The sequence below is a fragment of the Homo sapiens genome, chromosome 1 (assembly GCF_000001405.40).
Source record: "Homo sapiens chromosome 1, GRCh38.p14 Primary Assembly".
In the NCBI taxonomy this organism is placed as follows: domain Eukaryota; kingdom Metazoa; phylum Chordata; class Mammalia; order Primates; family Hominidae; genus Homo; species Homo sapiens.
Window position 1 is genome coordinate 19210274 of NC_000001.11, and position 12091 is coordinate 19222364.

The window sequence follows — 12091 nt, forward strand, 5'->3', positions numbered from 1 at the left end:
TCCGGGGGCTTGCCACCGGCCCAGCGCCGCCTCCCAGGAGGGGGCGGAAGTGACGCAATCTGTCGCGTCAGACTGCGCGCCGCCGTCATGGGTCAAAAACGCGACGCGCGGAGCGGCCTTTGCTCTCACCGGGGTCGAGCCGCGGCGAGGGAACGGATCGGAGACGCTGCGCCTGCTCAGAAGGTAGCGCAGCGGGGAAAGGCGGGAGAGCGTTAACTTCTGAGCCTGCGCGGTGGGAGTTGCTCAAGCAGGTGGTAGCGACTTGGCTTCCGGGCAGCGGGTAAAGGTGAGTCTGGGGCATGGGTTCAGTGGGCAAGTCTAGGGCAGCAGAGTTGACTACGCCTCGGCGTATAGAATGGCCCTGGCCTGGGACAGCTAAGGACGACAAGAGGAGGCCGAAGCCTAAAACGCTTTCACCTGCTTCTTCCCCTGCCTAGATCCCCCCAATAGTAATACTAAAGAGCGCCATAGTTTACAAAGATTTCTCCCTCTCACAACACCTTTTAATCACTGATCCGTATTCCCTTAGCACTCAAATCTCTTCTGTTTGGATTGCCCTCATTAACAATCTGACCAGCTCGTACAATGCATCCCTCTTTGCAATTTGCCACGTATGCTTACGTGTTCCCCTTTTTTCTACTGGCAAGGAAAGAATGTAAGCTTTTATTCACAGGAGATGTCTGAGACTTTTGCCGGTAAAATGATCTGGCTACAAGGTCTAAGAGGGAAAAGCAGTTTGCTCGAGGAAAGGTATTCGTGCATTAAGGACAGTCCTGTGAGTGAGATATTGGTGGACGGCTTCAAGCTCTAGCCTGTGGCCTACAGCTGGCCTAAATAAGACTGGGAAGGAACTGTGAAGACGGTTTCAAATTCCTAAAGCCCTGAAATTCTCCCCCTAAGTTTAGGAAGAGCTTTTGTTCTTGGTGTGTAACACTGATAAATGAATTGGTACCTAGTGATTAATCTGCACTTTTATTAAGATATGACCTACTTTACCTTTTTTGAGACAGGATCTTGCTCTGTCGCCCAATAGCCCAGGCTGGAGTGCAGTGGCAGAGTTGCAGCTGGCTGCAGCCTCCACCTCCCTGGCTCAAGTGATCTTCCAGCCTCAGCCTCCCCAGTAGCTGAGACTATACAGGTGCAGGCCACCACTCTTAATTTTTTTTGTTTGTTTTTAAGAGACAGGTCTCCCTACGTAGCCCAAGCTGTTTTCGAAGTCCTAGGTTCCTCCCACCTTGGACTCCCAAAGTGCTGGGATTACAGGCTTGACCCACTGCGCCCAGCCTGCATCTTTACATTCGAAATAAAATTCAGTCAAGTCAAAGCCGGTCTTGGAGGAAAATGTGGCTTTGATGACAGCAGTAGGGATTTTCCTTCAGTGCCTACTTACCAGAGGATAATAATAACAGCAAGTTTCTTAAACATAAAAACATCAGAAATGAAAAAGAACTTTCCATAACACTATAAATATTGCAGTATTTCAAGATACTGAACCAGAGCCCTAAGGAAAGGCTGGAGACCCAGAATTTTATAATGGCTTTGGGACATGAATTTTATTTTAACCAGAGGACAAAATTAATCTGCAAAAGCTGTCTTGGAGAAATTTCAGGAAATAAAAGATCAAATGTATCTGCTGTCCTCCCTTCCCTCTCCAGGAGAATAAAAGGCAAATGCAAACTATCACAGGGAGATTTTCACCTTTACCTAAATTATTTATTATATACTTTATATTTCTGGTTAATAGATTGGGAGAGAGCACTCCAGATAAAGAACTTCCTTTATAAATGCCACATTTATTTCAGTACTGGAGGTTTGGTCTTGTGTTGCCACAAAGATTTGGAATGGCATCTATGTTATAAATTTAGATGACAAAAGAGACTAATAAAAGACTTCTAGATGAAACACAAGCTTCTAATATTCTGGTCCAGGAAATAAGATAGAAACTAAAAAACAATAAATAACTTTTATGAATTAACTGAAGGACTTAAAATACTTGTTCCATTCTAATCCCAAGTGTCTGCCAAGGAACTGAAATTTAAAATGATAAAAGACATGATACAGTCATGTTACAGGGAATTCAATGAAGTAAAAATGGCAGACATTGATGAATGGTATGGTTTAAAGATTTGTGTAGAGGTAGTGATGAGGAGGCCTGCTGGGAGCTGGAAAAGTTCTATACCTTGACACAGTTATGCTTACATGGATATACACACACAGTAGTCACTAAGCCATGATTTGTACTTATGATTTGCACACTTTGGTGGTTGTAAATTGTACAGCAATCTAAAAACAAATGAGGTCAGTGTGCCTCACTACAGAGCTTCAAAAGTGGTAGATAGCACATCTCTTTTTTCTTTTAAGCCATCTAATACAGAGTTGCTTGGAATAAATCCTAATAGATACAGTGTTTCTAGAAACAAGTAAATGAATAAACCTTAGCTGTTACCCCGTAGGAGCCAACAGAGGTCAATCTGTTCTCAAGCTTTTACAAAGTTACAAGAACAAGTAATCAGTGCATATTTTGTTGAAACTCCTACTGCAATACTGAAAACTTCAAATGGAGAGCAGCTCCTTTTTGGTAATTCACAACAGACTTAGTTTTCAAATTACCAAGAATATAAGGAATTAGATTAGAAGCCTAATTCAATTTAGAATTATGAGACATTATTTGTAACCCACAAGTATTATTTTTCCCATGATACTGAACAATTCACCTGGCATGAACTTAAAAGAAGAAAATGCTTATTGCAGCCTTCTTGCTTTAAGAGCGAAAAAAACAATTTTGCTAGCTGTGGAGGGACTAGAATACAATGTCACTTTAAGATTTACACTCTCAAAAGTTTTGACCTATCAGATTGAGAGCCAGAGAGAGAGACAGACAGAAGGAGAAGGATAAATCAAATGTGGTAAAATGTTAACCTTTGGGGGATCTGGGTAGAGGGGATCTGGGAATTATTTGTACTATTGCAACTTTTCTGTAAGTCTGAAATTGTGTTGTCAAAAGTCAAAAGAAAAAATTTATAAATACTTTATCATCCATTTGCTTTATAATTAGGTACAGAGTATGATGACAGAGAGAGCCTACTGTATGCCAGATACTTAACAGAAGGAAAGTAGTTTATATGTAAACTCTGGGAAAAGTGGAGCCAAATGATTACACTGTGTGTACCCTTTAGCACTGTTTGGGGTGGGGACATGGGGGGTCAGGGTGCAGAGAGGGACTGTTCTGGTCTCCTTGGAAGGTATGTGCCTATAGTAAAAAGCATGAGTAAGATATCACATCTCCTAACTCCGTAACAACCAAGCAAACTTATAATAGCATTTTAACTTATATCACCTTTTTTATAGGAGCGGATATATATTCCAGCAGCATGAGTATTTTAGCCCTCTTTGCAATTGCAGTCTTCATTCATTATCATCAATAAACTGGCCTCTGGTTGATTGATCTAGTCTAGTTCTTATTTTATCACAGCACATGGGATATATGATATCATCAAAGCCATGATGTGAACAAACCATGAGGTATAATGGAGTTTGTATGAGTAATTGTGCCTTTTAATTATAGTTTTAGTTTGCTTTCTTGACTTCCATTCATTCAGATTGCACATTAGGGGACAGAGAAGAGGGTGCTTCAATATAAACCTTTGGCTATTTTACAAACACACTTTGCTAAATGTTCTTAGTCTCTATCCTGCAAAAGTCACCTTCTTGGATCAGAAATATATAAAAGCCTTAGTGCTGGTGGAAAACAGGCTTCTTCGTTGGAGGTCAGTCTCAACTAACTTCACACTCTGATTCCTAAAAAAAAATGGGAAGGTGGGTGTGTACACATCCTTTATGTTACAAATTTCTTACTGGAAAGGTGACCTAAATATTAGACTTTCCCGAAAGAGTATTGAGTCTCATAAAAATCTCTAATGGAACAGCACTTAAGAATTTCAACCGTGTGACCACTAAGAATGGTGTAGATCCATTACCTCTCACATAGGCACTCTCCACGATAGACTAAGTGATAAAACCAAGCTGCAGAAGATTGTATTACCTGGAGAGATACCAAATTGTTCAGTGGTGACCTCTGGGAAACATGGTGGGGGAGGTTTTGAAGGCAACACTCACCTTAATTTGGGGATATTGTTAAAAAATTTTTTTTACTTACATAGTCTTTTTAAAATAAAGAACTTAGCCACAAAATCAAAACAGCTGATTGATATGAAGCACCAGTATCTCCATTATTGAAAGGTTGCTTCAAGAATGCTGAATAGTTTGTTACATTTTACAAAAAAATGAAAGAGCACAGGATGTTGTCTACCTGTTTTAATTATGGAAGGATAATTGTCAATTTTTAAATAGCAAGATAGTTATAAAGAATGTTTTCCAAAGCAATACCAAAGAGATACTTTTCCCTTTTAGAATAGAAATTATGGTACCATGCAGCTTATTTCCCCATATTGATCAGGTGAGCATTTGTCTTAAGGAGTAAGAGAGTTTGTCAGACCTGGTGTCCATGGCTTGCCAGAGAGGCAGATTGAACTATCTCTTGGCATTTCCATAAATATACAAAAATTAGCCGGGCATGGTGGCGCACGCCTGAGCCCCAGCTACTCGGGAGGCTGAGGCAGGAGAATCGCTTGAACCAGGGAGGCAGAGGTTGTGGTGAGCCGAGATTGCGCCACTGCACTCCAGCCTGGGCAACAGAGTGAGACTCTGTCTCAAAAAAAAAAAAAAAAAAAAAAAAGAATTATTGGGGCCAGGCACGGTGGCTCACGCCTATAATCTCAGCACTCTGGGAGGCCACACAGGCAGACCACCTGAAGTCAGGAGTTCGAGACCAGCCTGGCCAACATGGTGAAACCCTGTCTTTACTAAAAATACAAAAATTAGTTGGGTGTGGTAGCACACTCCTGGAGTCCCAGCTACTCGGAAGGCTGAGGCAGGAGGATTTCTTGAACCCGGGAGGTGGAAACTGCAGTGAGTCGAGATCAAGGCACTGCACTCCAGCCTGGGAGACAGAATGAGACTCTGTCTCAAAAAAAGGAAAAAAATCCTTTACTAAGTCACCGAAGTCTTAGAAATTTGGGAAACTGAGGACAAAGTTCCTAAGGGTTCTGGAGAAGAAGGTACAGCCATTTGGGGAACTATTTGTCAAGGAGCAACTTCATGTCTGGGACAATAGGTAATTCAGAAAACAGTCCCTAAGAGACACAATATCTGAAATAATAAAGGGGTGTGGTATATCACTCAGGAAGTTACGTGGTAAGCAGCCAGGATGGTTGAAGGTCCTGAGTAGCTGAAACCAATAGGGAAGACTTTATGGAGGAGTTCAGATTTGAGACAAGCCAGATTTTAAGCAGGGAAGAAAACATTCCAAGTAAAGAAAACAGAATGGTTTCATGATTTAAAAGCAATTTTTTCATTTTATTTATTTTTGAGACAGGGTCTCACTGTGTTGCCCAGACTGGAGTGCAGAGGCATGATCTCGGCTTACTGCAGCCTTTGCCTCCTGGGTTCGATTCTCCTGCCTCAGCCTCCCAAGTAGCTGGGATTACAGGCATGCACCACCACACCTGGCTAAATTTTTTTATTTTTTTGGTAGAGATGGGGTTTCAGGTTTCACCATGTTGGCCAGGCTGGTCTTAAACTCCTGACCTCAAATGATCTGCCTGCCTTGGCCTCCCAAAGTGCTGGGATTATAGGCTTGAGCCACCATGCCTCGCCTAAAAGCAAAATTTTAAATAATTAGGAATCAGGAAATGAGTCTTGGGATGATTCTGATGATACTTTGTGTAATAGGCTCTTTAAAAGTATGACAATTTATGGGCCAGGTGCAGTAGCTCATGCCTGTAATCCCGGCACTTTGGGAGGCTAAGGAGGGAGGATCACTTCAGCCCAGGTGTTCGAGGCTGCAGTGAGCTATGACTGTGCCACTGCTCTCCAGCCTGGGTGACAGAGACCCTGCCTCCAAAAAAAAAGCAATTTATAAAGGCAGTGAAATTACAATTATGAAATTTTCAAATTGAAAGATGCCTTACGGAGCACATAACATGTACCCACACACAAATAATGAAACTAGTTCAGATTAGATAGCTTACATTAAAGTCTCTAACACTTAAATTAGGAATTGAGTATTTTTTCTATCAGACTTTGTTCCAGAAACTATTTCAGTCATCTTTATGAATACATGATATTCAAGATACATTAGCTGAGCCTTTATAAAAACATCTCATGTACCCCATAAGTATATGTACCTAATATGTACCCACAAAAAATTTAAATAAAAAACTTTAAAAGATCCATTAGTTGAAAAAACAAGTAACAGAATTAAATAGCATCATCTCATTTAAGAAAACACTGTATACAAGAACAAACACTAGACTACCAGTGCTCATATACGTAATTAATGAATACTAAAACAAACTAGTTTTTGTTTTTGTTTTTGAGCCAGGGTCTCACTCTGTTGCCCAGGCTGGAATGCAGTAGCATGTTCATGGCTCACTGCAGCCTCGACCTCCCAGGCTCAAGTGATCCTCCTACCTCAGCCTCCTGAGTAGCTAGGACCACAGGCACATGCCACCAGGCCCGGCTAATTTTTTTTTATTTTTTGTAGATAGAGTCTTGCTATGTTGCCCAGGCTGGTCTGGAACTCCTGGGCTCAAGAGATCCTCCACTATGGCCTCCCAAAGTGCTGGGATTATAGGCATGAGCCATCACGCCCAGCCAAATCTTTTTACGTGAAACACCATGGGGCCCCAAAATTAACCTAATTAATGAAGACAGGAGAAGAGGTAAGTCAAGGAATACACACAAAAAACAAGGAATGACAAGAAAGCAAATAGATCAGAGAATTGAGAGAGGAAACATAGTCTCAGCAGCCATTAGTGGAGACTGAGTGTAGCTGCTCAGAACCGAATGCTGCTTTAAGATTAAGGAAAGTTGAGAACTAAGAAAAGATTTAAATTGGACTGTGGCATTAGCATTAACTATTTTAAGCACTTGGCCAAGCTCGGTGGCTCACACCTGTAATCCCAGCACTTTGGGAGGCCAAGGCCAGCAGATCACTTGAGGCCAGGAGTTCGAGACCAGCCTGGCCAACACAATGAAACCCCGTCTCTACTAAAAATACAAAAAATTAGCTGAGCGTGGTGGCACATGCCTATAGTCCCAGCTGCTTGTGAGGTGGAGGTTGCCGTGAGCCAAGATCGTGCCACTGCACTCCAGCCTGGGCAACAGAGTGAGATTCTGTCTCAAAAAAAAAAAAAGCACCTGCTTTGAGGTAACTTTGATTACAGCTGAAATACAGGGAATTTTACTAAAGGACAAATACCTTCCCTCCCAGTAGCTTGTTTCAGATTCTGGCACACTGGTAAATAAAAACTAGAATCTTGCAGGCTAACCTTGCACATATGTATGTAAGACAGTCAGAATTCCAGCCAGGCTTTCTCAAAACTAGGGCAGAATTTTTTTTAACTTGTACTTAACTCTCTTCTCCCAGGTTATGTTAAAATATGCCTTGGGTCAGGATGATAGATGCCTGTTTTTTTCTGGAGATTCTTAGACATTCAGTCACTCAATATCAAACTGACAATTAATAAAATGGTTGTCATTTCCTCTTCCTTCTCTGCCATAATCTACCATCAGCATATGACCATAGAAAGATGACAAATTTTTAGATAACCTAACCAACCCATATATGATTAAACTGACCTTTCCTTACTAAAATAAAATACACTTACTCCATGTCTTCACTGCTTTTATCCCCTCTAATGTGAAAATAGCCTCAAAATGATCTTCTAAGACACAAAAGAGGACTTAAACAGTGTCATTTGTCACTTGCTTTATGCAAACATTCGAGTGTACCTCTTTCACCACAGGGCTAGAGATGGTCTACTCTGTACATACATTTCACAACAAAGAAAAATTCTGTCATTCCCCAACTCTATGACCAAGGAAAACTTTTAGGATTTCTTTAATTTGTAGCAGAGACACAGTGGCCTAGCCAATCGGCAGTGCTATACACACAGTATGCCAGTTTCCCACCCCTACCCTCTTTCTCCTTTTTTAAAGCTTCAAAGGTTAGATCAATAAAATTTAAAATTTCCTCATTTAAGGAGAAATATAATGACCCACATGTTAATTTATATTAAAAACTAAAAATAAATAATGGGGTTCTTAAACAAGGACATCTTTAACTAGGTTATGATTAGACCAGCCTGTGGGTGAAATGAGAGATTATCTCTTCTCCCTGGAAATGTCTTCAAGGCTCAGACAATTCAGTAGTTTTTAAAAGGCCCCAACTCACACATCTCAGGTGAAAAGTATAGGCAATGGGCAACAAACAAGACGCTAGTATGCACTTGGCTTCTGATAAATTGAAACAAAGATTTGGTGGCCCAGCCTAATAAATGACAGCACGAAACTAGAGGTTTAAAGTAAGTTTTGACATCACATATAGATCCCTCAACCCTAAGTTACTTTGGAGGGAAGCCATGAGAGGCTGGATCAGTCCTCAAGCCTCAGCTAAGGATGGATCCTATTTCTTCCCAGTGCAAAACACCAAATGTACCTATAAGGTGGAGTCGGCAAGGAGAGTTCCCCTCTTACTTTGAAGCAAGAGATGGAAAAAGTCAGAAAGATTTCTAGATAAAATTGAGAAACACAAAAGGCAAAGTAAAGTCAATTTAAACAGGCCTCACAAAAATCAGCCGGAATTCTTATTAAAAAAAACAAAACAGAACATTCATGGATGGGCAAAGAAAGGAAACAATGCAGACGCCTTTGGACTTCAAGAGAAAGCCCATCAGGAATCTCTGAGAGTGTCAGCTGAGAGAGTTCTGTCTCTCTCCATGTAGGATCCTTTCTGCATCATGTATATCCCAAAAGGAGTTCTGCGTGAAGGTCATCCATCTTCCCTACAGTTCTTAGCTGAGCACTGACACACACACATACTCCACCAATCCACCAAACTGCAGCTGTAGCTGCTTATCTGACCCACACTCCCCTGGCTCTCCACTTTTAGGCACAGTCTTTGTTCTTTATCGCCAGGCCCGATTCAGGAGCTTCACCTGTGCCAGTCTCTTAGTGATCATGGTGGCAAAAACCAGGCCAAAGAGGACGCTGCTGATTAACACGTAGTCATAGTCATCCTTCAGAACGTCAAACTGCTTGGATGGGTAGACTCGAGTTTGGTAAATGTCCAAACCATAGGCCACAACCTGGAAGGCAGATGGAATAAGAATTAGGAAAGAAACAACCAATGATCCACCAAGGGTGAAATAGGGCAGCTGTGGGCTCTACTCACCAAACAAGTGGACTCCAGACCCGAGGGAGCTGTGTAGATACCTCGCATTCGAGAAACTGTCTGGTTATAGTTGATGAATCGCTCTGCGTGTATCTGTACATCTGGAGAATACGGGATTAAGTTCTCCTCTCTGCAAAACACCAGCCGGGACAGGCAGTCTGAGCACTGCTGTAAAGGGATCTCTTGGCTGCCCTTCCTGAGTCCTGGGAGGTTTCCAGGCTACATATCTAGCCTCAAATCTCCTAGGAGGTCTGCTTGCATTAGGTAGTTAAAAATTTAGCAGCTGAATGTTAGGAAGGACTACAAGAAAGGAAGCTCTCTGGAGAGTAAGACTGAGATCTAGATTCCTACTTTGTTCTAAATCTGAAAAGAAAGAACATACAGATGACTGGCACTTCACACCACAAGAGGAAAGCCGACCATTTTAAAGCCAACACACTGAACCACTAAGCTAATTCCTGCTCTCCACTCCAGGGTGCCTCTCAGTCCCCATTTCTCTGAAACCTGATTATCATCCTGTGTCTTTTCCTAGCTTTAACCTCCTCTCTCTCATATACTTCTCCAAAACACACTCCTCTCCATTCCTCATGCCCCTAGGCAAAGAAATTCAGGATGGAGGTAAGAAAACCCGACAAGATGGTGGTTGTTAATACAACAATACCAACAGTGAATAAGATATTGGCTTGCCCACATGGTCTGGCCCGAATTACCTCAGTGATCTCATTTCCTAGCGTTGCCCTCCGCAAACTCACCAGACATGATCTCAGGGGATTTGCATTGCCTGTTCCCTCTGCCTAGAAAGTTCTTCCTCAGGTATCTACACAGCTAGCTCCTTCACCTCCTTCAGGCCTTCACTCAAAATGCACCTTCTCAAAGGGGCTTTCCCAGGCCACCTCTCAAATTACACCCACGCACATCCCCATCCCCACTTCCTAGCTCATTCCTGTTTTACTCTGCTTAGCATTTGAGTACCTAACATAGTATATATTTTACTTGTTTATCTTATGTATTTATTGTCCATTTCCCAGCAGACTGTAAGCTCCATGAGGGCAGGTGACTTTTTCAGACTTGCCCCCTGCTACATCCCCAGCCCCTAGCACAGCATGAAGGCACACAGAGACCAAGAACCAAGCTTAATCAGTGAGGTTAAGTTATGTAAGGTCAGAGCCTTCAGCACTGCCCATGAGGGTCTCACCTGCTTTGTTCTGTTGGGATCTCGGGGCGGCGGGGATCCAGCAAAGCCTTAGGAAGGGAAAGAATTGCTCCAGAAGGTAGTCCAACTACACAGGAGGAAGTGAATGTTCACACCGATCCAGTGTCCAGCAAGGGCCAGTTACAAAAATGTCATTATTGCAGACATTTAAATAAGAATTTAAAACAAAAAAATGGGTCAATGAGGCTCCCTTACATAGCCAAAAATAATAATCCAATGATACGCATGGGTCTGAATGAAGGTTCTCACTTTTGAAGACACTGGTTTCTTAACTTTCTGAGACACCAGAAAATAAAGTTCTAGAATCAAGATATGGATAATGATGAAAGAGAAAAATGTAGAAGGCCACTTGGATTTCCTCATGCCTCTCCCCGGGGCCTCCCTCCCATACCTCCCCCAGCAGGAAGTCTCCTTCCCATTGAGCAAACGCAGCTGTTCATGCAGCTGCGGTACAGTGGCCAGGGAAGACTGGAGGACCAGGCATGATCAATCATAGCACCAGTTTCAGTAATGGTGATTAAAGCTGATAAACTGCCAACAGGGCTGGCTTCTTCATATTTAAGAATTCAATAGGCCAGTCGCGGCGGCTCACACCTGTAATCCCAGCACTTTGGGAGGCCGAGGCAGGTGTGGATCACAAGGTCAGGAGATTGAGACCATCCTGGCCAACATGGTGAAACTCCGTCTCTACCAAAAATTTAAAAATGAGCTGGGCACAGTGGCACGCACCTGTAGTCCCAGCTACTCAGCAGACTGAGGCAGGAGAATCACTTGAACCAGGGAGGCTGAAGTTGCAGTGAGCTGAGATCGCACCACTGCACTCCAGCCTGGGTGACAGAGCAAGACTCTGTCTCAAAAAAAAAAAAAAAAAAGCAACAGCAATGCCAAGTGCCCATCAGATCTGAGAGTCCCAAACATCTTCGGTAAAATCAACTAAACACAGGAACCTGTTAACCACTAAGTCCTAAGTCCTGGGCTTAGGTTACATAAGGATGAGATTTTAGGGCTGGCGCAGTGGCTCACACATATAATCCCAACACTTTGGGAGGCCAAGGCAGGCGGATCACTTGAGGTCAGGAGTTCAAGACCAGCCTGGCCAACATGGCGAAACCCCATCTCTACTAAAAATACAAAAATTAGCCGGGCGTGGTGGTGCACGCCTGTTAACTACTTGGGAGGCTGAGGAGGAGGATCACTTGAACCCAGGAGGCGGAGGTTGCAGTGAGCCAAGATCGTGCCACTGCACTCCAGCCTGGGCAATAGACCCTGCCAGTTTCTGCAAGCTGTCAGCACAGGCTAGCTATGTTAACAATGCTATCAGGAACTGACTTTTTGAGCTAGGTGAAAATGCCAAATAGAGAGGTGGTATATCAGAAATGAGGACTGAAGGCCAGGCAGCCAGGCACGATGGCTCACACCTGTAATCCCAACACTTCAGGAGGCCAAGGCAGGAGGATCACATGAGCCCAGGAGTCTAGATCAGCCTGGGCAACATGGCAAATCCCTGTCTCTACCAAAAAAAATTTTTTTAATTAGCCAGGTGAGCTCAGGAGGTTGAGGCTGCAGTGAGTCATGATCACACC

The 12091-nt window shown here is 42.9% G+C and overlaps 1 protein-coding gene and 1 long non-coding RNA gene across 8 annotated transcripts in view, besides 3 other annotated features; one reads left to right on the forward strand and one right to left on the reverse strand.

Moving 5' to 3' along the window:
* Positions 33–82: an enhancer, noted in NCBI's record as "active region_296". NCBI's record gives its function as "activates an Ori minimal core promoter by ATAC-STARR-seq in GM12878 lymphoblastoid cells {active_cell/tissue: GM12878}" and the evidence as "EXISTENCE:reporter gene assay evidence [ECO:0000049][PMID:35858748]".
* The window catches only part of EMC1-AS1 (EMC1 antisense RNA 1), a 30319-nt gene continuing 18340 nt past the window's right edge, over positions 113–12091 (forward strand). For both annotated transcript variants that reach the window (NR_135114.1, NR_135115.1), the window contains exon 1: positions 113–286. This is a non-coding gene — a long non-coding RNA (EMC1 antisense RNA 1). The remainder of the gene's footprint in view (positions 287–12091) is intronic.
* Positions 333–382: an enhancer, noted in NCBI's record as "active region_297". NCBI's record gives its function as "activates an Ori minimal core promoter by ATAC-STARR-seq in GM12878 lymphoblastoid cells {active_cell/tissue: GM12878}" and the evidence as "EXISTENCE:reporter gene assay evidence [ECO:0000049][PMID:35858748]".
* Positions 1008–1077: a silencer, noted in NCBI's record as "silent region_351". NCBI's record gives its function as "represses an Ori minimal core promoter by ATAC-STARR-seq in GM12878 lymphoblastoid cells {active_cell/tissue: GM12878}" and the evidence as "EXISTENCE:reporter gene assay evidence [ECO:0000049][PMID:35858748]".
* EMC1 (ER membrane protein complex subunit 1) overlaps positions 5387–12091 on the reverse strand; it is a 35865-nt gene continuing 29160 nt past the window's right edge. For all 6 annotated transcript variants that reach the window (NM_001271429.2, NM_001271427.2, NM_001375821.1 and 3 more), the window contains 3 exons: positions 10491–10575; positions 9296–9425; positions 5387–9209 (listed from right to left, as the gene is read on the reverse strand). In NM_001271429.2, the coding sequence (NP_001258358.1) occupies positions 9030–9209; positions 9296–9425; positions 10491–10575 (395 nt within the window). In that variant the 3' untranslated portion in view covers positions 5387–9029. The remainder of the gene's footprint in view (positions 9210–9295; positions 9426–10490; positions 10576–12091) is intronic.